This window comes from Homo sapiens, chromosome 1 (assembly GCF_000001405.40).
Source record: "Homo sapiens chromosome 1, GRCh38.p14 Primary Assembly".
NCBI lineage: Eukaryota > Metazoa > Chordata > Mammalia > Primates > Hominidae > Homo > Homo sapiens.
Window position 1 is genome coordinate 96,368,239 of NC_000001.11, and position 23,761 is coordinate 96,391,999.

A 23,761-nucleotide genomic window follows, 5' to 3' on the forward strand; every position below is an offset into this window, starting at 1 on the left:
AAGACTACAGGTACATGCCACCATGCCCAGCTAAGTTTTTTTTTTTTTTTTTTATATTATGTTTTGTAGAGATACAGCCCCACTATATTGTCCAGGCTGGCCTCAAACTCCTGGCCTCAAGCTATCTTCCCACCTTGGCCTCCCAAAGTGCTGGGATGGCAGGTGTGGTCCACCATGCCCGGCCAATATACCATCTTTTAACTGGACCTTTTCTATGTTTATATGTGTTTAGGCACACAAATACTTACCAATGTGTTACAATTGCCTACAGTATTCAGTACAGTAACATGCTATACAGGCTTGTAGCTTAACAGCAATAGGCTATATGTTATATAGCCTCAGTATGAAGCAGTCTATACAATCTAGGTTTGTGTCAGTGCACTCTATGATGTTCATGATGAAATTGTCTAACAATGCATTTCTCAGATAATTTCTTTGCATGATTGTATATTAAGGCCCCTCCCAACTTTTAGCATGCTCAGTTATTCTCTGAAAGTAAAATTTCTCTTGATCTCTAAGTCCTCTATCTTGCAAACCTAACAGATGTGATATCTATTCTCTAATACAGAGTCATTTTTTGTGACTGCTCTTAACTATCGGCCCTTTTGAGAGTTTATATCATACAGTCTCCACGACTGTCTAATGAGAAAGCAGAATAACAAAATGCTTTTTGCAACTAATTTCAGAAACACGGGAGAGGATCCAACAAAGTACCAATCTTATGCAGCTCTGATATTGTCACAGTAGTTTGCTAATCAAACATGAGCCGGGCAGGAGAGGGCCCACCTGCCCCGCACTAGGAATGTCAATCACCATCAGGTGATGGTCAGGCAGTTGTTAAACTATCTCTCTAAAATAAGAATTAGCCTCAGCCAGTGCCAAGGAAAAGCAGTCCCCCAATAGAAAAACCTGAGGCCAGGCATGGTGGCTTACGCCTATAATCCCAGCACTGGGAGACTGAGGCAGGTGGATCACCTGAGGTCAGGAGTTCGAGACCAGCCTGGCCAACATGGTGAAACACCGTCTTCTCTAAAAATACAAAATTAGCCGGGTGTGGTGTTGCATGTCTGTAATCCCAGCTACTTGGGAGGCTGAGGCAGGAGAATCACTTGAACCCAGGAGGTGGAAGTTGCAGTGAGCCAAGATTGCGCCGTTGCTCTGCAGCCTGTGCAACAAGAGCGAAACTCCATCTCAAAAAAAAAAAAGAAAAGAAAAAGAAAAAAGAAAAACCTGAAACTATTGATCAGCTTTCCAATAAGATCTCAGGAGTTGGGTGAGTGGGCTCAAGCATGTGCATTAAGGCAAAATGGTAGAGTTTAACTGATACATGTAACCTTACAGGAACACTTGACTGGTAAGAGGAAGAAAAGCCTCAAGAGAACATGCATACAACTCCAGTAAATGCCTGTGCATATGCCCCCACAACAAGCACTAGCAGGCCACTGTGCATGAGGACAGCCCATCCCAAGGGAAGAATCGGAAGAAGTAACACAAGACCCCTGAAGCATGCCAAACCCTAAGGGAAAGTCAACCTGTGCACTTGATCTTTCAAGTTGCCTGCTTGGCCCTCTTCGAAGTGCACTTTACTTCCTTTCATTTGTGAACCCCCAAGTATCTGAGACAGGTCTCAGTTAATTTAGAAAGTTTATTTTGCCAAGGTTGAGGGTGTGCGCCCGTTACACAGCCTCAGGAGGTCCTGACAACATGTGCCCAAGCGGGTCAGAACACAGTTTGGTTTTTATACATTTTAGGGAGACATGAGACATCAATCCACATATATAAGATGAATATTGGTTCTATCCAGAAAAAGCGGGACAATTCAACGCAAAGGCGGGACTACTTGAAGCGGGAGGGGGCTTCCAGGTCATAGGTAGATAAGAGAAAATTGTATTCTTTTGAGTTTCTGATTAGCCTTTCCAAAGGAGGCAATCAGATATGCATTTATCTCAGTGAGTAGAGGGGTGACTTTGAATAGAACGGGAGGCAGGTTGGCTCTAAGCAGTTCCCAGCTTGACTTTTCCCTTTAGCTTAGTGATTTGGGGGGCCCCAAGATTCATTTTCCTTTCACACATTCCTGTTCTAAAGCTTTTTAATAAACCTTCACTTCTGCTCTAAAACTTGCCTCCATCTCTCACTCTGTCTTATGGCCCTTGGTCAAATTCTTTCTTCTGAGGAGGCAAGAATTGAGGTGATTGCAGACCCATGCAGATTCACTGCCACTAACAGTATCTGAAGTACCACACTTCAGTTCTACAGTGTAAGATATTGTGCATTTATCTATCATTTGCCATTGATGTGAATGAGTTTTCAAGAACATATCCTTAGCAGGGATTGGGAGTTATAGGGAACCAAAGAAAACATTATGATACTGATGTGGACATACCACTGAAGGAGACCAAAGTAAAAACAAAGTGAACCAGCTTGATCAGCCTCTTAATAATTCTCATATTTCTCAGGGCAGGATGGGCTGTACAGCACCCCCCCCCCCCACCCCCCACTTCCTTGCATTTTCCATGATAAAGAATCTTTATCTGTTTTAACTCAGGAACTTGTATTGAAGGAAGTGGTATTATTCGCACTAGAACTAATGTTTGAAGGAGGCTATAAAATTTCCCATCCTAAAGAGGTTTAAGGATAAGTTAGTTTTGTTTTAGTCTGGGATTGTTTAAAAGAAATCTGCAAAAAGCCTGGGAGTGGGGATGCCTGTGGGCAGTTCTTCCAGCGCAGTGTTCCTCTGTTTCCTGATTGCAGGGAGCATTGAGTCATCATCTGACAGGCATAAATAATACTTGAGAAACATATCCTGTCTTTGAAAATAGATTCCATGAATTCTTCAAGTTGTGTTTTTGCATTTTTTTTTCTTTTTTTTTTGAGAAGGAGTCTTGCTCTGTCACCCAGGCTGTAGCGCAGTGGCGCGATCTTGGCTCACTGCAAGCTCCACCTCCCGGGTTCACACCATTCTCCTGCCTCAGCCTCCCGAGTAGCTGGGACTACAGGCGCCCGCCACCAACGCCCGGCTAATTTTTTGTATTTTTAGTGGAGATGGGGTTTCGCCTTGTTAGCCAGGATAGTCTTGATCTCCTGACCTTGTGATCCACCCGCCTTGGCCTCCCAAAGTGCTGGGATTACAGGCGTAAGCCACCGCGCCCGGCCTGCATTTTTACATTTTACATTTTATACTTTATCTTTCGTCACGTTTGAACAAAAAAGTGAGTGAGTAAATAAATGAACAGGTAAATTAAAGCATTTTCTTTATTTCCACCTAACTAAATACATCCATTTTACTGTTTTACTCATCTGTGTAACAAATGTGAAAAATACACAAGGAAGGGTTTTTTTTTTCCAGCATAGGCAATTCTTCAACTTTTATGTCCATAAGAATCACTCAGTAAACTTACTAAATGTGAAGATTCATGAGCCCCCTACCTAAAGATTCTGATTTAATAGATCAGCACTTTGGGATGCCGAGGCGAGTGGATCACAAGGTCAAGAGATCGAGACCAACCTGGCTAACACGGTGAAACCCCGTCTCTACTAAAAATACAAAAAATTAACCAGGCGTGGTGGTGGGCGCCTGTAGTCCCAGCTACTCGGGAGGCTGAGGCAGGAGAATGGCGTGAACCCGGGAGGCGAAGCTTGCAGTGAGCCGAGATCGCCCCACTGCACTCCAGCCTGGGCGACAGAGTGAGACTCCATCTCAACAACAACAACAAAAAAATAGATCAGGCATAAACACACAGGAATGTAAATGGTAATATCATACACACAAACTTCAAAGTTATGTCTGATGTGAGTGGTCCACAGGCCACACTTTGAGAAATATTGCTATCTAAGGGCTGTTGATTCTCTGGTCTATCATTCTGATATCAGAACCTTAAAAAATTGTGAGTTGCAATCATCCCACCTTTGGACCAGAGTCAGCCAAGTGGAAGCAAGCATTATCAAGTAAGAGAATTTCAGAGATTCGCCAAAGTGAGAAGGGACATTGCAATATCAAGACTTACTATAAAAATGTAGTAATCAAGACAGCATGATATTGACACAAAGGTTAATCGAACAATGGAAAAGAATGGAGGGTCAAGAAATAGATCGATACATGAGGAATTGATTTTTAATCAAGGTGTAAAACAATTTTCATTGGAGAATAGTCTTTTCAAAAAATGGTGCCAGAACAATTGGATATCCATATACCAAGTAAGTACTCCTATCCACAATATTGAAAAAGTAACTCAAAATGAATAATATACCTAAATGTTAAACCGAAAGCTATAGAACTTCAAGAAGAAAAGATAAAAGAAAATCTCTGTGATGGTATTTTAGAAAAAGAATTCCTAAATACAATACCAAAGTCACAATCCAAAAAACAAAAAGTGGTACATTGGATTTTATGAAAATTAAAAACTTCCCCTCTTCGAAAAACACTATTAAGAAAGTAAAAAAGACAAGCCACAGACCAAAAGATAATGTTTGTAAATCACAAACAAAGTGACTTGCAAATTACTTATCTGATAAAGGATGTGTATCTACAATATGTAAATAACTCTCAAGACGTAATTTGAAAAAAATCATTTAAAAAATGGACAAAAGATTTAAGTAGACACTTCATCAGCAAACATGTGTGGATAGCAAATAAGCACATAAAAAGATATTCAACATCATTTGTCACTAGGAAAATAAAAATTAATCACATTGAGATACTACTACATACCTATTAAAGTGGTTACAATTTAAAACACTGACCAAATATTCACAAGGACAGAAAAACTAGAATACTACTACACAATAAAAGTAATAAACTATTAATACATGCAACATGGATAAGTCACAAAATAACTATGCTGAATGAAAACAGCTGGACAAAAAAGAGTACACATTGTAAAGTTCTATTATACAAATTCTAGCAAATAAAATCCAATCCGTAATGACAGAAACTAGATTAGTAGTTTCCTGAAAATGGAAGAAGGTAGGGATAAAAAGGAAGAAGGCATTAAAAAGAGTCCCAAGCAATCCTTGGAGGTTGATGCCAATGGTCATTATCTTTCTGGTGGTAATAATTTCATATGTGTAGGATACATATGACAAAACTTATCAACTGTATTTGAAAATTATTGTATGTCAATTATATCTTAACATTGTTTAAACATTGATAGGTATTTAAGAATATAAGAAAAAGGAAAAATTCAGGAAATAGTAAACTCCAAAAAATTCAAAAAGTAATACAAGAAAGAAGCTATTATCACAGTACACTATTTGATTCACCAATGAATATTTCAATAACTATGGAAATATAAATCTGAATATTTATTTAACCCAAATTATGATAGGGCTTTTTCTAGAAAAAGGAAAAGGGAGACTTGGAACACGGATGGGTTGGAGGAACATCTAAGAGAGTTAATTATCTTAATAGACTATAACAAGAAGTCAAAAGATAACCATAAAACTACAAAATCAAGAAATATATGATATGCAGATTATTTAGAGACATAGCGGTAAGAATCAGAAGCAATGACTGAAAGAGTTGAAGCCATTTACTTCTTGAGAGGACTGGGGAATAGAAGTAGTAAGGAAAAGGACCACTGATTTTAGCACACACTCATATACACACAGGCACACACGTACATGTGTATATAACCTATGGTGCCATTTCATTTGACTTAACAAATAGATCATAGGCAATGCTGCGTGAATATTTTTCTATTTCTGTATAACCCAGACTTCATGATTGAATGGTAAACATGCCTTGGAAGTTAGAGAACACAAATTGCTCTGGATACAGTTTAGAGATATATCTCTCCTGGAGCCATTTGCTTACATCCCAAGGGTAATAAACAGAAACAACTTACCCCTTTCTTCCAGAGATATTTGCTTACAATCCAGAGTAATTCTCTCCCTTCTGCTGAGATTTGTTTACAGAGTAAAGTTTTGTCTCTCTTTCTAGTGGGAGAAGGGGTACATGTACCAGCTGCCCAATATAGCACTAAGTCTCATGATTTCAGGGTTTTTCTCCTGTGTGCCAAACCCTAGCACATGCACGTAAACATCTGGGCCTCATCAAGTTCCTTTGTGGAGAATTGGGGCACAGATAACCTTAAAACCACACAAGCATATTATCTCACAGTTTCTATGAATCAGAGGTTTGAGTATGGGTTGGTTGGATTCTCTGCTAGGGTCTCACCAGGCTGAAATCAAATGGTTACAATTTAAAAGACTGACCAAATCAAATATTCACAAGGACAGAAAAACTAGAATACTACTACACAATAAAAGTAATAAACTATTAATACATGCAACACAGATGAGTCATAAAATAACTATGCTGAATGAAAACAGCCAGAAAAAAAGAGTATAGATTGTAAAGTTCTATTATACAAATTATAGCAAATAAAATCCAATCTGTAGTGACAGAAAGTAGATTAGATGTAAGGTTTCAAGATCACTTTTAAGATAACTGGTTGTTGACAGTACTGAATTCCTTGCAGTTGTATGACTGAGTTCTTATTTTCTTGTTGGTTGCTGAACAAGAACCTCTCTCAGCTTCTAGAGACCACTCTCAGGTCTTTGCCACACAGCCCCCTCCATAAGCAGTTAATGAGGTAATTTGCTTCTTAAAGGCCAGCAAGGAAAATCTCCCTCATGCTTCTGATCTCTTTTTTTAAGAAGGGTCCAGTTCCTTGTAAGTACTTGCCTGAATAAGTCAGGTCCACCCAGAATAATGTCTCTTTTGATTAAATCAAACTCGACTAATTTTGGATGTTAATTACATCTGAAACTCATTTCATCTTTGTCTTATAATGTATTCTAACCATGGGAGTGAAATCCTTTATAGTCACAGTCTCAGTCACACTAAAGGGGAGAGGTTGATGCAGGCTGTGTATACTAGAGTACAAGGAATTGTGGGAGCCATCTTAGAGTTCTGGGTGCCACATTCTACGATTCAGCATACCTATAGACACAGGTCCAAAGAGGCAAGTACAAGGATGCTCATCACAACCTTGTTGGTAACATAAAAACTCATTACCTCCTGATATGTTCTGAATGTTTGTATCCCCACAAAATTTATATATTGAAACCGAATGCCAGTATGATAGCATTAAGAGATAGACATTTGGGAGGTGAATAAGTCATGAGGCCAAAGCTCTCATGAATGGGGATTGTGCCCTTATAGAAGCGGTTTGAGGGAGTTTGTTCTCCCCTTCCACCATGTGAGGATAGAGCAAGAAGGTGTCTGCCATCTTTGAAGCAGAGACTAGGCCCTCACCAGTACCCCCAATCTGTTGGAGCCTTTATCCTGGATTTCCCAGCCTCCAGAACTATAAGCAATAAATTTCCATTGTTATAAATTACCCAGTCTAAGGTATTTATTATAGCAGCCTTAAAGGAGTAAGAAAGCTGTCATCCAAACGTCCAAAATAAGAAACATATAAATAAAATGAGAAATATTTTTATGTTGGAACATGACATAAAAGTTCAGCAGGAAAAATAAATAGGTAGGTAAATTATATGCATCTTAACATGCATATTTCTTGTTTCACTGAATATGGCAGTGAATGAAATAATAAAGTTAGGGGAATTTGGAGGAATTATGGTGGATGGGAGGCAGGACTAGACTGCAGCTCTCATGCAAACAGAGCAGTGTGTGGAAACTCACATCATGAACTTTTGCTCCAGAACTACTGCAGGGATAAACCAGAAAAGCTGAGAGAACTCACAGACCCTATGAAGGAAGTAGATTGCTCCTGCAGGACCCAGGAGACATCTCAAATATTGTGGGTGCCCAAGCTGTGGAAATAGGAAAGAGGAATTGTCCATCCCTGAACACACACCCTCACTGGGGAACCTGAAGGTCTAGATCATGGGAAAAGATTCTGGCCTTACCTGGACCTGAGTCAATTTAGAGAGCCAAGGGAAATACAGGGTTAACGAAGCAGTGGGAAACGTCCTGTGGACTCTCTGGGTCTCCTGGGAAGCCATTTCTGCCTTGTCTCACAGGGTTCCCTAGGGAGGGCTGCCAGAGGAACTGGGAAAGGTTGACAGGGAAAAGACAGTCTCCACCTGAACTTTGTAACAATTCCACCCAAACACGAAGTCTCTTGGCCTGAGCTTGGGGGAGGGTGTGACTCTGGTGTGCAGACTCCACAGGTGGGGAAGCATGAAAGCCCTGCTTGCTTTTGCACCTGGGAGACTGGTAGCCTGGGCAAATTCTCAGCCCTGCTCATGCACTGCCTGGAAACAGACTTGGTGCTATTGGTGGGGGCACTGTGGGAGTGAGACCGGCCTTTTGCATTGTGTGGGAGCTGGGTGAGGCCTGTGACTGCCGGCTTTTTCCCACTTTTCTGTCAACCTGCATGACAAAGCAAAGGCAGCCATAGTCATCCTGAAAACATAACTCCTTTGACCTGGGAACCACATCCCCATCCCCCACAGCAGCTGTGGCAAGACCCACCCAAGCGGAGAGTCTGAGCTCAGACACGCCTAGCTCTGCCCCCACCTGATGGTCCTTCCCTACCCACCCTGGTCGCTGAAGACAAAGGGCATATACTCTTGGGAGTTCTAGGGCCCTACCCACTGCCTGACCCTCCCTATACTACCACAGCTGATGTTTTCTTGAAAGCACCACCTTCTAGCAGGAGGCCAACCAGCACAAATATAGTGCATTAAACAACAAAAGCTAAGGACCCTCGTAGAGTTCATTTTGTTCCTGACACCTGCAGATGGTACACATCACAGGACTCTGTGCAGACAACCCCCAGTACCAGCCCAGAGCCTGGTAGACCTGCTAGGTGACTAGATCCAGAAAAGAGATAACAATCACTACAGCTCAGCTCTCAGAAAGCCACATTCCTAGGAAAGCCAGGAGAGTACTACATCAAGGGAACACCTGTGGGACAAAAGAGTCAGAACAGCAGCCTTGAGCCCTAGACCTTCCCTCTGACAGAGCCTACCCAAATGAGAAGGACCCACAAAAACAATTCTGGTAACATGACAAAACAAGGTTCTTTAACAGCCCCCTAAAAAAATCACACTAGCTCACCAGCAATGGATCCAAACCAAGAAGAAATCCCTGATTTACCTGAAAAACAATCCAGAAGGTCAGTTATTAAGCTAATCAAGGAGGCACCAGAGAAAGGTAAAGTCTAATTTAAGGAAATCAAAAAAATGATACAAGAAATGAGGGAAGAAATCTTCAGTGAAATAGATAGCATAAATTAAAAACAATTAAAACTTCAGGAAATATTGACACTCTTAGAGAAATGCGAAATGTTCTGAAAAGTCTCAACAATAGAATCGAACAAGCAGGAGAAAGAGCTTCAGAGCTTGAAGACAAGGTTTTTGAATTAACTCAATCCAACAAAGTCAAAGATAAAGGAATAAGGCAAATGAAAAAAGCTTCCAAGAAGTTTGGGACTATGTTAAATGACCAAACCTAAGAATAACTGGCATTCCTGAGGAAGAAGAGAAATCTAAAAGTTTGGAAAACATCTTTGGGGGATTAATCAAGGAAAATTTCCCCAGTCTAGCTAGAGATCTAGACATCCAAAAACAAGAGGCTCAAAGAACACCTGGGAAAATCACTACAAAAAATCATCACCTGGGTACATTGTCATCAGGTTATCTAAAGTTAAGACAAAGGAAATAATATTAAGAGCTGTGAGGCAAAAGCATCAGGTAACCAAGGAAAACCTATCAGATTAACAGCAGATTTCTCAGCAGAAACCTTACAAGCTAGATTGGGGCCCTATCTTCAGCCTCCTTAAGCAGAACAATTATGAGCCAACAATTTTGTATTCAGCAAAACTAAGCTTCATAAATGAAGGAAAGATAACAGTCTTTTTCAGACAAACGAATGCTGAGAGAATTTGCTACTACCAATCCATCACTACAAGAACTGCTAAAAGGAGCTCTAAATCTTGAAACAAATTCTGGAAACACATCAAAATAGAACCTCTTTGAAGCATAAATCTCACAGAACCTACAAAACAAAAATACAATTAAAAAAAAAAAACCTAAGGTATACAGGCAACAAATAGCATGATGAATGGAATAGTACCTCACATCTCAATACTAACACTGAATGTAAATAGCCTAAATGTTCCATTTAAAACATATGGAATGGCAAAATGTATAAGAATTCACCAACCAAACTATCTGCTGCATTCAAGAGACTCATCTAACACATAAGGACGCAAATAAACTTAAGGTAAAAGAGTGGAAAAAGACATTCCATGCAAATGGACACCAAAAGCAAGCAGAGGTAGCTATTCTTATATCAGACAAAACAAACCTTAAAGCAACAGCAGTTAAAAAGAACAAAGAGGGACATTATATAATGATAAAAGACCTTGTCCAACAGGAAAATATCACAGTCCTAAATATATATGCACCTAACACTGGAGAACCCAAATTTATAAAACAATTACTACTAGACCTAAGAAATGAGACAGACACCAACACAGTAATAGTGGGGGACTTTAATACTGCACTGACAGCACTAAATAGGTCATCAAGACAGAAAGTCAATAAAGAAACAAAGGATTTAAAGTACACCCTGGAACAAATGGACTTAACAGATATTTACAGAATATTTTACACAACAACCACAGAATATACATTCTATCATCAGCACAAGGAACTTTCTCCAAGATAGACCATATGATAGGCCACAAAACCAGCCTCAATAAATTTTTTAAAAATTGAAACTACATCAAGTACTCTCAGACCATGGTAGAATAAAACTGGAAATCAACTCCAAAGGAACCTTCAAAACCATGTAAATACATGGAAATTAAATAACCTGATCTTGAATGATCATTTCATCAACAATGAAATCAAGATGGAAATTTAAAAATTCTTCAAACTGAACATCAATAGTGACACAACCTATGTAAACCTCTGGGATACAGCAAAGGTGGTGCTAAGAGGAAAGTTCCTATCCCTAAATGCCTATATTAAAAAGTCTGAAAGAGCACAAATAGACAATGTAAGGTCACATCTCAAGGAACTAGAGAAACAAGAACCAACCAAACCCAAATCCACCAGAAAAAAAGAAATAACCAAGATCAGAGCAGAACTAAGTGAAATTGAAACAAACAAACAAAATACAAAAGATAAATGAAACAAAAAGCTGATTCTTTGAAAAGATAAAAAACTGTCTTAGATAGCTCTTATTATTTTGAGATACGTCCCATCAATGCCTAATTTATTAAGAGTTTATAGCATGAAGCATTGTTGAATTTTGTCAAAGGCCTTTTCTGCATCTATTGAGATAATCATGTGGTTTTTGTCTTTGGTTCTGTTTATATCCTGGATTACATTTATTGATTTGCGTATATTGAACCAGCCTTGCATCCCAGGGATGAAGCCCACTTGATCATGGTGGATAAGCTTTTTGATGTGCTGCTGGATTCGGTTTGCCAGTATTTTATTGAGGATTTTTGCATCAATGTTCATTAAGGATATTGGTCTAAAATTGTCTTTTTTGGTTGTGTCTCTGCCCGGCTTTGGTATCAGGATGATGCTGGCCTCATAAAATGAGTTAGGGAGGATTCCCTGTTTTTCTATTGATTGGAATAGTTTCAGAAGGAATGGTACCAGTTCCTCCTTGTACCTCTGGTAGAATTCGGCTGTGAATCCATCTGGGCCCGGACTCTTTTTGGTTGGTAAGCTATTGATTATTGCCACAATTTCAGATCCTGTTATTGGTCTATTCAGAGAGTCAACTTCTTCCTGGTTTAGTCTTGGGAGGGTGTATGTGTCGAGGAATTTATCCATTTCATCTAGATTTTCTAGTTTATTTGCATAGAGGTGTTTGTAGTATTCTCTGATGGAAGTTTGTATTTCTGTGGGATCGGTGGTGATATCCCCTTTATCATTTTTTATTGCATCTATTTGATTCTTCTCTCTTTTCTTTGAATGGGCAAAAACTGGAAGCATTCCCTTTGAAATCTGGCACAAGACAGGGATGCCCTCTCTCACCACTCCTATTCAACATAGTGTTGGAAGTTCTGGTCAGGGAAATTAGGCAGGAGAAGGAAATAAAGGGTATTCAATTAGGAAAAGAGGAAGTCAAATTGTCCCTGTTTGCAGATGACATGATTGTATATCTAGAAAACCCCATTGTCTCAGCCCAAAATCTCCTTAAGCTGATAAGCAACTTCAGCAAAGTCTCAGGATACAAAATCAATGTACAAAAATCACAAGCATTCTTATACACCAATAACAGACAAACAGAGAGCCAAATCATGAGTGAACTCCCATTCACAATTGCTTCAAAGAGAATAAAATACCTAGGAATCCAACTTACAAGGGACGTGAAGGACCTCTTCAAGCAGAACTACAAACTACTTCTCAATGAAATAAAAGAGGATACAAAGAAATGGAAGAACATTCAATGCTCATGGATAGGAAGAACCAATATTGTGAAAATGGCCATACTGCCCAAGGTAATTTATAGATTCAATGCCATCCCCATCAAGCTACCAATGACTTTCTTCACAGAATTGGAAAAAACTACTTTAAAGTTCATATGGAACCAAAAAAGAGCCCGCATCACCAAGTCAATCCGAAGCCAAAAGAACAAAGCTGGAGGCATCACACTACCTGACTTCAAACTATACTACAAGGCTACAGTAACCAAAACAGCATGGTACTGGTACCAAAACAGAGATATAGATCAATGGAACAGAACAGAGCCCTCAGAAATAACGCTGAATATCTACAGCTATCTGATCTTTGACAAACCTGAGAAAAACAAGCAATGGGGAAAGGATTCCCTATTTAATAAATGGTGCTGGGAAAATTGGCTAGCCATATGTAGAAAGCTGAAACTGGATCCCTTCCTTACACCTTATACAGAAATTAATTCAAGATGGATTAAAGACTTAAACGTTAGAACTAAAACCATAAAAACCCTAGAAGAAAACCTAGGCATTACCATTCAGGACATAGGCATGGGCAAGGACTTCATGTCTAAAACACCAAAAGCAATGGCAACAAAAGCCAAAATTGACAAATGGGATCTAATTAAACTAAAGAGCTTCTGCACAGCAAAAGAAACTACCATCAGAGTGAACAGGCAACCTACAAAATGGGAGAAAATTTTCACAACCTACTCATCTGACAAAGGGCTAATATCCAGAATCTACAATGAACTCAAACAAATTTACAAGAAGAAAACAAACAACCCCATCAAAAAGTGGGTGAAGGACATGAACAGACACTTCTCAAAAGAAGACATTTATGCAGCCAAAAAACACATGAAAAAATGCTCACCATCACTGGCCATCAGAGAAATGCAAATCAAAACCACAATGAGATACCATCTCACACCAGTTAGAATGGCAGTCATTAAAATGTCAGGAAACAACAGGTGCTGGAGAGGATGTGGAGAAATAGGAACACTTTTACACTGTTGGTGGGACTGTAAACTAGTTCAACCATTGTGGAAGTCAGTGTGGCAATTCCTCAGGGATCTAGAACTAGAAATACCATTTGACCCAGCCATCCCATTACTGGGTATATAGCCAAAGGATTATAAATCATGCTGCTATAAAGACACATGCACACATATGTTTTTTGCGGCACTATTCACAATAGCAAAGACTTGGAACCAACCCAAATGTCCAACAATGATAGACTGGATTAAGAAAATGTGTCACATATACACCATGGAATACTATGCAGCCATAAAAAATAATGAGTTCATGTCCTTTGTAGGGACATGGATGAAATTGGAAATCATCATTCTCAGTAAACTGTCGCAAGAACAAAAAACCAAACACTGCATATTCTCACTCATAGGTGGGAACTGAACAATGAGAACACATGGACACAGGAAGGGGAACATCACACTCTGGGGACTGTTGTGGGGTGGGGGGAGGGGGGAGGGCTAGCTTTAGGAGATATTCCTAATGCTAAATGATGAGTTAATGGGTGCAGCACACCAGCATGGCACATGTATACATATGTAACTAAACTGCACATTGTGCACATGTACCCTAAAACTTAAAGTATAATAATAATAAAATAAAATAAAAGATAAAAAACTGATAGAGCATTACCAAGATTAATCAAGAAGAGAGACATTCCAAATACGCTGAATTAGAAACAAAAGGGAAGACATTAAAACTGAAGCCACAGATATACAAAAGATCATTCAAGATTACCATGAACACCTATACATGCATAAACTAGAAAACCTGGAGGAGATGAATAAATTCCTGAAATGTTACAACCCTTCTAGCTTAAATCAGGAAGAATTAGATACCCTGAACAGACCAATAACAAGCAGCAAGTTTGAAATGGTAATAAAAAAATTACCAATAAAAAAAAAGTCCAGGACCAGACAAATTCACAGCTGAATTATGTCAGACATTCAAAGAAGAATTCGTCCCAATCCTATTGACACTATTCCGCAAGATAGAGAAAGGGTATCCTCCCCAAATCATTCTATGAAGCCAGTATCACCCTAATACCAAAACCAGGAAAGGACAAAACCAAAAAAGAAAACTACGGACCAATATCCCTGATGAACATACATGCAAAAATTCTTTAAAAAATACTAGCTAACTGAATCCAGCAACATATTAAAAAGGTAAACCACCATGATCAAATGGGTTTCATAACAGGAATGCAGGGATGGTTTAACATATGCAAGTCACTAAATGTGCTACACCACATAAAGAGAATTATAAACAAAAATTACATGATCATCTCAATAAATACAGAAAAAGCATTTGACAAAATCCAGTGTCTCTTTATGATTAAAATTTTCAGCAAAATCAGCATACAAGAGACATATCTCAATATAATAAAAGCCATCTATGACAAACCCACAGCCAACATAATACTGAATGGGGAAATGTTGATAGCATTCCTTCTGAGAACTGAAAGAAGACAAGGATGCCCATTCTCACCACTTCTATTCAGCATAGTACTGGAAGACCTAGCCAAAGCTATTAGACAAGAGGAAGGAATAAAGGGCATCCAAATCAGTAAAGAGTAAGTCAAACTGTCACTATTTGCTGTTGATTTGATTATATACCTAGAAAACCCTAAAGATTCATTCAAAAAGCTGCTAGAACTAATAAAAGAATTCGGCAAAGTTTCAGTATACCAAATTAATGTACACAAATCGGTAACTCCTATACATCAACAGCAACAAAGCTGAGAATCAAATCAAGAACTCAACAGCTTTTACAATAGCTGCAAAAATAAAATAAATACTTAGGAATATACCTAATCAAGGACATGAAAGACCTATGCAAGGAAAACTACAAAAAACTACTGAAAGAAATCACAGAGGACAGAACGAAATGGAAACTCATCCCATGCTCATGGTTGGGTAGAATCAATATTGTGAAAATGGCCATACTGCCAAAAGCAATCTACAAATTCAGGCAATTCTCATCAAAATAACACCATCATTCATCATGGAACTAGAAAAAACAATCCTAAAATGTATATGGAACCAAAAAAGAGCCCTCATAGCGAAAGCGAGACTAAGCAAAAAGAACAAATCTGGAGGCATCACAGTGCCTGATTTCAGACTATACTATAAGGCCATAGCCACTATAACAGCATGGTACTGGTATAAAAAGAGGCCCATAGACCAATGGAACAGAATAGAGAACCCAGAAATAAAGCCAAATACTTACAGCCAACTGATCTTTGACAAAGCAAACAAAAACATAAAGTGGGGAAAGAACACCCTATTCAACCAATGGTGCTAGTATAATTGGCAAGCCACGTGTAGGAGAATGAAACTGGATCCTCATCTCTCACCTTATATAAAAATCAACTTGAGATGGATTAAGGACTTAAATCTAAGATGTGAAACTATAACAATTCTAGAAGATGACATTGGAAAAACCCTTCTAGAGCCTGGCTTAGGCAAGGATTTTATGACCAAGAACCCATAAGCAAATGCAATAAAAACAAGGATAAATAGATGGGACTAGCTGGGACTTAATTTAACTGAAGAGCTTTTGCACGGCAAAAGGAACAGTCAGCTGAGTAAACAGACAACCCACAGAGTCGAAGAAATCTTCACAATCTATACATCCAACAAAGGACTAATATCCAGAATCTACAAGGAACTCTAACAAATCAGCAAGAAAAAAACAATCCCTCAAAAAGGGGGCTAAGGACATGAGTAGACAATTCTCAAAAGAAGATATACAAATGACCAACAAGCACATAAAAAATGCTCAATATCACTAATGATCAGGGAAATGCAAATTAAAACCACAATGCACTACCAACTTACTCCTACAAGAATGGCCATAATCCAAAAATAAAAAAATAATGAATATTGTCATGGATGCATTGAAAAGGGAACATTTCTACACTGCTGGTAGGAATGTAAACCAGTACAACCACTACGGAAAACAGTGTGATGATTCCTTAAAGAACTGTAAGTAGAACTACCATTTGATCCAGCAATCCCACTACTGAGTATCTCCCAGAGGAAAAAGAGTCATCATATGAAAGACAGTTGTGCATGTATGTTTATAGCAGCACAATTTGCAATTGCAAAACTGTGGAACCAACCAAAATGCCCATCAATCAACAAGTGGATAAAGAAACTGTGGTAAATATATATGATGAAATTCTACTGAGTCATAAAAATGAATGAATTAGTGGCATTCACAGCAACCTTGTTGGGATTGGAGACTACTACTCTAAGTGAAGTAACTCCAGGAATGGAAACCCAAACATTGTATGTTCCAGATACCCCTGTTTCCCTAAAAACGTATGGAAATAAAAAATTTCTTAAAAAACATACTGTTTTTACCTTTGAATTAAACAAAAGGAAAAAGGTATATAAGGTTTTAAAATGCACACAACGCAAGAACAAATTGGGAAGACTGACACTACCCAACCTCAAAGCTTACTATGAAGCTAAAGTAATCAAGACAGTTTAGTACTGGCTAAAGACTAGACAAATAAATCAATGGGAAAGAATAGAGTCCAGAAATAGGCCCATATAAATATAGTCAACTGATTTTGACAAAGGAGTAAAGGCAATACAATGGAGCAAAGAGTAATTTTCAACAAATGGTGCTGAAACAATTGGACATCCACATGCAGAAAGAAAAAAAAATGAATCTAGACACAGACCTTACACCCTTTACAAAAATTAACTCTAAATGCATCATAGACCTAAATGTAAAGTATAAAATTATAAAGCTCTCAGAAGACAATGTAGGAGACTTTGATGACGTCAGGTATGGCAATAACTTTTTATATATTGTACCGAAGGCACAATTCATGAAAGAAATGATTAATAAGCTAGACCTCACTAAAATTAAAAACTTCTGCTCCGCAAAAGACAATGTTAAGAGACTAAGAAGACAAGCCACAGACTGGAAGGAATATCTGCAAAAGACACATCTGGTAAGACTGTTAACCAAAAAACACAAAAGACTCATTAAATTCAACAATAAGAAAGAAAAGAAACAACACAATTAAAAATGGGCCAAAGACCTTAAGAGACACCTCATTAAAGAAAATATACAGATGCTAAATAGCATCTCAAAAGATGATTTACACCCCATGTCACCAGGGAAATGCAAATTATAACAGCAATAAAATACCACTACACACCTATTCAAATGTCAAAAATATAGAACACTGACAACAACAAAGGCTGGTGAGGATATGGATCAACAGGAGCTCTCCTTCATTGCTAGTGGGAATATAAAATGGTACAGCTACTTTGGATAGCGTTCTGGTGGTTTCTAACAAAATTAAGTATACAGTTACTAGACAATCAATAATCACACTCCTTAGTACTTGCCCAAAGAAGTTGAAAACTTATGCCTACACAAAAACCTGCACACAAATGTTTATTGAAGCTTTATTTATCATTGCCAAAACTTGGAAGCAATCAAAAGGTTTTTAAAAAGGTGAATGGATAAAAAGATGGTATATCCAGACAATGAAATATTATCTGCACTAAAAGAAAACAAGTTATCAAGCCATGAAAACACGGAAGAATCTTAAAAGCATATTACTAAGTGAAAAAAGCCAACGTGAAAAGGGTATATATTGTGTAATTCCTACTACATGACATTCTGGAAAAGAGAAAATTACGAGACAATAAAAAGATCAGTGGTTGTTAGGGGATTGAGGCGGAGAGGGAGAGACAAATAGGCAGAGCACAGAGGATTTTTAGGAAAGTGCAACTAATCTGTATGATACTACAACGGTGGAAACATCATGATATATTTGTTCAAACCCATGGAATGTACAATACCAAGAGGGAACTCTAATGTCAACTACACACTTTGGAAGATAATGATGTGTCAATGTAGGTTCACCAATTGTAACAAACATACCACTCTCATAGGGGATGTTAATAATGTGGAAGTTGATGAACCTGTAGAGGACAGAAGGTATATGGGAAGTCTCTATACCTACCACTCAATTTTCTGTGACCCTGAAACTTCTCTAAAAATAGTCTATTAAAAATGCATGGAATGTAATACCTTATTTATAGATATGCAATGTTGTAGTAATCCTTTTTTTTTTATTTTCTATATTTCTGATGCTATGACACGATGGGGGCTCTGCTGACCCCGAAGAAACTGGCCCTCCTAGGGCTAGCTAGTTGCTAGAGACAGTAAAAGACTTTCCTGTGAGTGTACTTTTCCTTTGCAAACCAACCAATCCAGAGCCCAGACCCCCCACCGTCACCTCCTTTATATGGCCCCCATAGGGCTCTTTCACTCAGGGCCACCATTCCCCTGCCCTAATCACCCCAGGGCCTACCAGACAACTAGAGAAAACCCCTATACCCTTGAGCCAGCTGAAATTATTCAAATTAGTCAATGTTAAACCTATTCACCCTGCCTCACCTGTTTCTTTCTGCAGAACCCACAATAAAGACTTTGCCCGTGTTTTCCCCTAGCTCTCTCTGACTTCTGACTGACCTTGGTGCTTCCCCTTGTAGCCCCTGCATGGTGAGGTATAGCCCTCCCCTTGGGAACTGTAATAAACTATCCTTTCAATGGCAGTTGGGTCCTGATCTGTTGGCCTCACCATACCCAAATAATAATAAAACCTACATTTTAAAATAATTATTTATAAACATAGTATGTTAATGTATTTTTATAATGCATTGGCAGGATTTACACTAAATCTGTCAAATGGCTGACTCCAGGAATGAGAAGGGTTATGAGACTGGGGAGTTGGGAGATTAGAGGGTCACAACTTTACATGTAGGATTATGCTGTCATAAAACAGGAGACTTGAAGCAAATATAGCAAAATGTTAAGAACTACTCATTCTGTGTGGTGAGACAGAAGTGCTTATTATATGATTTTAAAATATTTATTTTTGAAAATAAAAATTATTTTTAAAAGAGTAATGTTACCTACAACATTCAAAAGATGTGGTAAAGATAATACTAAATAAAGAGCAAAGAGTATTCAGGAGATTCATATACAAGTTAGGATGCAATTTTCAAAACAAGTTCAGGCAAGAAATGCAGAGAAGAGACACAATAGCAGTAATGGTATTCCAGACACTCCAATTTATTCACAACTTGTTCAACACCCCTTCTCAGCTGGGTTAGTGTATCAGTTATCTGTTACCACAGTAATGCCGTGTAACAGCCATGACAGAAAACACAAAATCCCCCTGGCATATGGCAATAAACTCTTCTTACTCACAAGTCTTTAGGTTGACTAAGCATTTTATTGATCGAAGCTGAGCTCATCAAGACTTAGTTATGTGTCTATTGCCAGCTGTAGGGCAATTAAACAGTCAACCCTGGATGAACTTGCTCACAAGCGTGTGCCATCTTGCTCTATTCCACATGACTGCTCACCAGCAGGCTCATCCAGCCTTATTCTCATGGCAAAGTGAGAGCAGCAAGAGGCAACAAGAAGAAAAACACAGGGCCTCTAAAGACCTGGGCTCAGAACTGGCACACTGTTGGTTCCACACATGATTTATGCCAAGGCTAGTATAGACTCAGTGTCTTTAATGGAAGGAGTAAGCAAATCGAGACCATTGCCACCATCAATCCCACCTCAGTTGGACAAAAACTATCTTGGCGGATACTTTTTCCAGTTTACTTACTTCGTTCACTGTGAGAATTAAGAAGCCAGACAGAGCAGGGATTACCTCTATTTAGGGTTTGTTTGTTCGCTTTAAATAGATCCTTATGTGTTCCTGCTTGAGATCATTCCCTGATATGGGAGCATCCTTATCAGTTGACCTAGACCTTCCTAGAGTATTGTAACCTAAGAAAAGTAAGGCCCATATTCTTCAGAAATGCAGTCTGAAAAAAGCTAATGTCTCTGATTATTTACCTAAGAGAGGACAGAATTATATGCTGGGAAGGTTAAAGTCAGTGACAGGCCACCTTCCGGTCATGATGTCAATTATATTCTTGCCAGAATGCCTGTAAAGCCTTCTCAAAGGAGATCTTGAAAAACAAGGTGAAGAAATAACACATAAGACTATATTCCCGTTTTTAGGAAGTCACAATACACCTTAGTTTTATACACTGTTGGTTGGCAGACCAATACCCATTCCCTCTTCCTTTCTTAACTAAAAGAGCCTTGATTTTGCTTTAGGACAGCAATGCATCAATTAAAAATATTGCTTATTCCAGACTCACTTACAGCTAGTGATAGCTGCATGACCTATTATTTCCTGGCAGTGAGACATAAGCACAAGTTAACTAAGTGGACAACTGAGAAAAATATATTTCTTTCCAGAAATAAAGGAACATATTTCCTGTTCTCCACTTTCCACCCTGGACTCTTTCAGGTGTTTCCTGCCTAGAAGTGCAGCAGCCACCGTATGAGCATGAGAAAGAAAGCCCCACACTATGCCAGGGAGGCTGCAGGAGAATTCAGAAAGGAGACTGCGTACTGGAGGCATCCTGGAACTGACATTCCATTCTGGATGACTGTGTCTGCATTTATTTTTCTACATAAGAAAAATAAACTCCTACTTGTTTTTATCTTTGCAATCAGATCCCTGTCACATGCAGCCAAATGCAAATCTAAATAATTTGTGAGTTCTAAGAATTTCTGCACTGAAAGAAAAACCTTCCTAGCTAGATTTAGTCATTCCACAACATATGTATATTGTACACCATAAATATACACAATTTTATCTATCAATTTAAAAATAATATTAATAAAATAATAAAGATGTGAAAGACCTAAATAAATAAGGGGTAAAAAAGCTCAGTCCTTCCCAAACTTATTTGCACACAGCACTTTTTTTAAAAGTAATTTATTTTTACCTTCTATAGTATATGAACAATGCTTCACAGAATATCTGTTTGGAAAATTCCATTTTCTTTTGTGTTATATAACTTTTACCTTGAATGGCCTGTTTCCTGGTTAAAGTACTGCATTAATGAAATCAATGTGTGAAACAGATCTTTATATGGACAAATCATCTTGTAACACCAGCTATCTCAGAATAGACATCATTTGCTTATCCATGATCCCGTTCATCAAAAAATATTTATTGGTCACCTAATAGGTTCCGAACTTTGCTAGGTCCTGGGGATAGAAAGATAACTTAATCCAGTTCTCAAATCTTTGTTAGCTTAAGGTTAGTGTGACAAGACAATTATTTATAATGTATCTAAAATTCTCTGTTACCACAATTTAAGGACATTCCAAGCATCCAGGGCACACCATCATGATTCTCCTGATTCATGAATATTAACCTAACGCTGTCAGGTTCATGGGGAAAAAAACTGGATACTCAAGAAGGATTTGAGCCAACTATCCAACATTTACATATTTTTAAAAATTATTTTTATTGAGACATAATTGATGTACATATTTTCAGGGTACATGTGATAATCTGATACATTCATATAATCAAATCAGGGTAATTAGGATATCCATCACATTAAATGTTTAGCTTTTCTTTATGCTAGGAACATTCAAATTATTCTCTTCTAGCTATTTTGAAATGTTTAATAGACTAATGTTAACTATAGTCACCCTTCTGATCTATCAAACACCAGGTCTTATTTCTTCTATCTATTAGTAACTGTATAATTGTACCCATTAATAATCTCTCTTTATTCCCTCCTTTCCCACCCTTCCTGGCCTCTGGAAATCTATCTATCTCCATGAGCTCCACCTTTTTAGCTCACACATATGAGTGAGAACATGCTATATTTGTCTTTCTGTGCTTGGTGTATTTCACTTAACATAATGCCCTCCACTTCCATTCATGTTGCTGCAAATAACAGGATTTTATTCTTTTTATGGCTAGATAATATTGTTTATATACCACATTTTACTTATTCATTTATCCATTGATTGGCACTTAGGTTGATTCTATATTTTGGGCATTGTGAATAGTGCTGTAGTAAACATGGGGGTGCAGACATCTCTTTGATATATTGATTTCCTTTCTTTTGGAGTGGATCTCAACAGTCCCTTCAAGCCTCCACCAGGCAGTGTGAGGATGCCTAACATACCCAATACACAACCAGCAATAATGAAACCAACAGAGAAACATCCAGTTTATACGCTGATTGCAAAAAAACATGCATTGGCCCAAGCTGAACTTAAACACCAGGAAGAAGTAGAAAGAAAAGATGCAGAATTAGTCATCGGGAATGAGAAATGCAAAACCTCACTCAACATGGTAGAAAAAATAATTGGCCACTTCTTCTTAGCAATTTTCCTATAGAACCTTGTTTCTATCAGGATTTTTCTGTTGACATTCCTATAGAATTCCAAAAGACAGTAAAGCTTATATACTACTTGTGGATGTTCCATGCTGTAACACTATTTCTAAATATCTTCAGATGCTTGTCTTGGTTTTGTGTTGATTTTGCAAGAGTGGTTGATTTTAGTTTGAGTATCCTGTGGTTCTTGCTTTTTACTCCTTGTTAATTTGTCTGTTGGTACAGATCACTTTATGGAGCTTTCAGGAGTGGCAGTTCATTCAGACTCTTTGTATTCTTCTTCGTCTATATTTGTTAGTTTGCTGTACATGCATTCCAGGCATATGAAATTGGGGTAATTGTGGTTGAGTTTCAACCCTTACTGTTCTCAACCAAAATATTCCTATTGGAATCAGGATGATAATCACAGCAGCACTTTTCGCAGCATCAGCAGCCATCTCACTAGTTATGTTTTTAAAAGATGATGGCCTCCAGCTGCATCTATGTTGCTACAAAGGACATAATTTCATTTTGGGGGCTGTGTAATATTCCATGGTGTATACATACCACATTTTCTTTATCCAGTCTACCATTGATGGACATTTAGGTTGATTCCATGACTTTGCTATTGTGAATAGTGCTGCAAGAAACATACAAGTGCAGATGTCTTTTTGAAAAAAGAAGGTACTAATTAACATTCCCACTAATGGTGTACAAGGGTTCCCCTTTGTCTACATTCTCACCAGTATCTGCTATTCTCTGTCTTTTTTGTAAAAGTCATTCTAACTGGAGTGAGATGATATCTCATTGTGGTTTTGATTTGCAGTTCTCTGATAATTAGTGGTGGTGACCATTTTTTCATATATCTGTTAGCCATTTGTATGTCTTCTTTTGAGAAATGTGTTCAGATCTTTTGCCCATTTTTTATTCAATTATTTGGTTTTTTACTATTGAGTTGTTTGAGTGCCTTATATATTTTGGTTATTAATTCCTTGTCAGATGGATAGTTTGAAAACATTTTCTCTCATTCTGTAGGTTGTCTTTTCAGTTTTTGATTGTTTTCTTTGTTGTGCAGAAGCTTTTGAGCTTTATGTAATCCCA

At 38.1% G+C, this 23,761-nt stretch overlaps 1 long non-coding RNA gene and 1 pseudogene across 1 annotated transcript in view; one reads left to right on the forward strand and one right to left on the reverse strand.

Annotated features, from left to right (window-relative positions):
• LINC01787 (long intergenic non-protein coding RNA 1787) overlaps positions 1 to 5,887 on the reverse strand; it is a 120,057-nt gene extending 114,170 nt beyond the window's left edge. The window contains exon 1 of the long non-coding RNA NR_110693.1: positions 5,844 to 5,887. This is a non-coding gene — a long non-coding RNA (long intergenic non-protein coding RNA 1787). The remainder of the gene's footprint in view (positions 1 to 5,843) is intronic.
• Positions 22,413 to 23,151, forward strand: LOC101060164 (secretory carrier membrane protein 1 pseudogene; annotated as a pseudogene).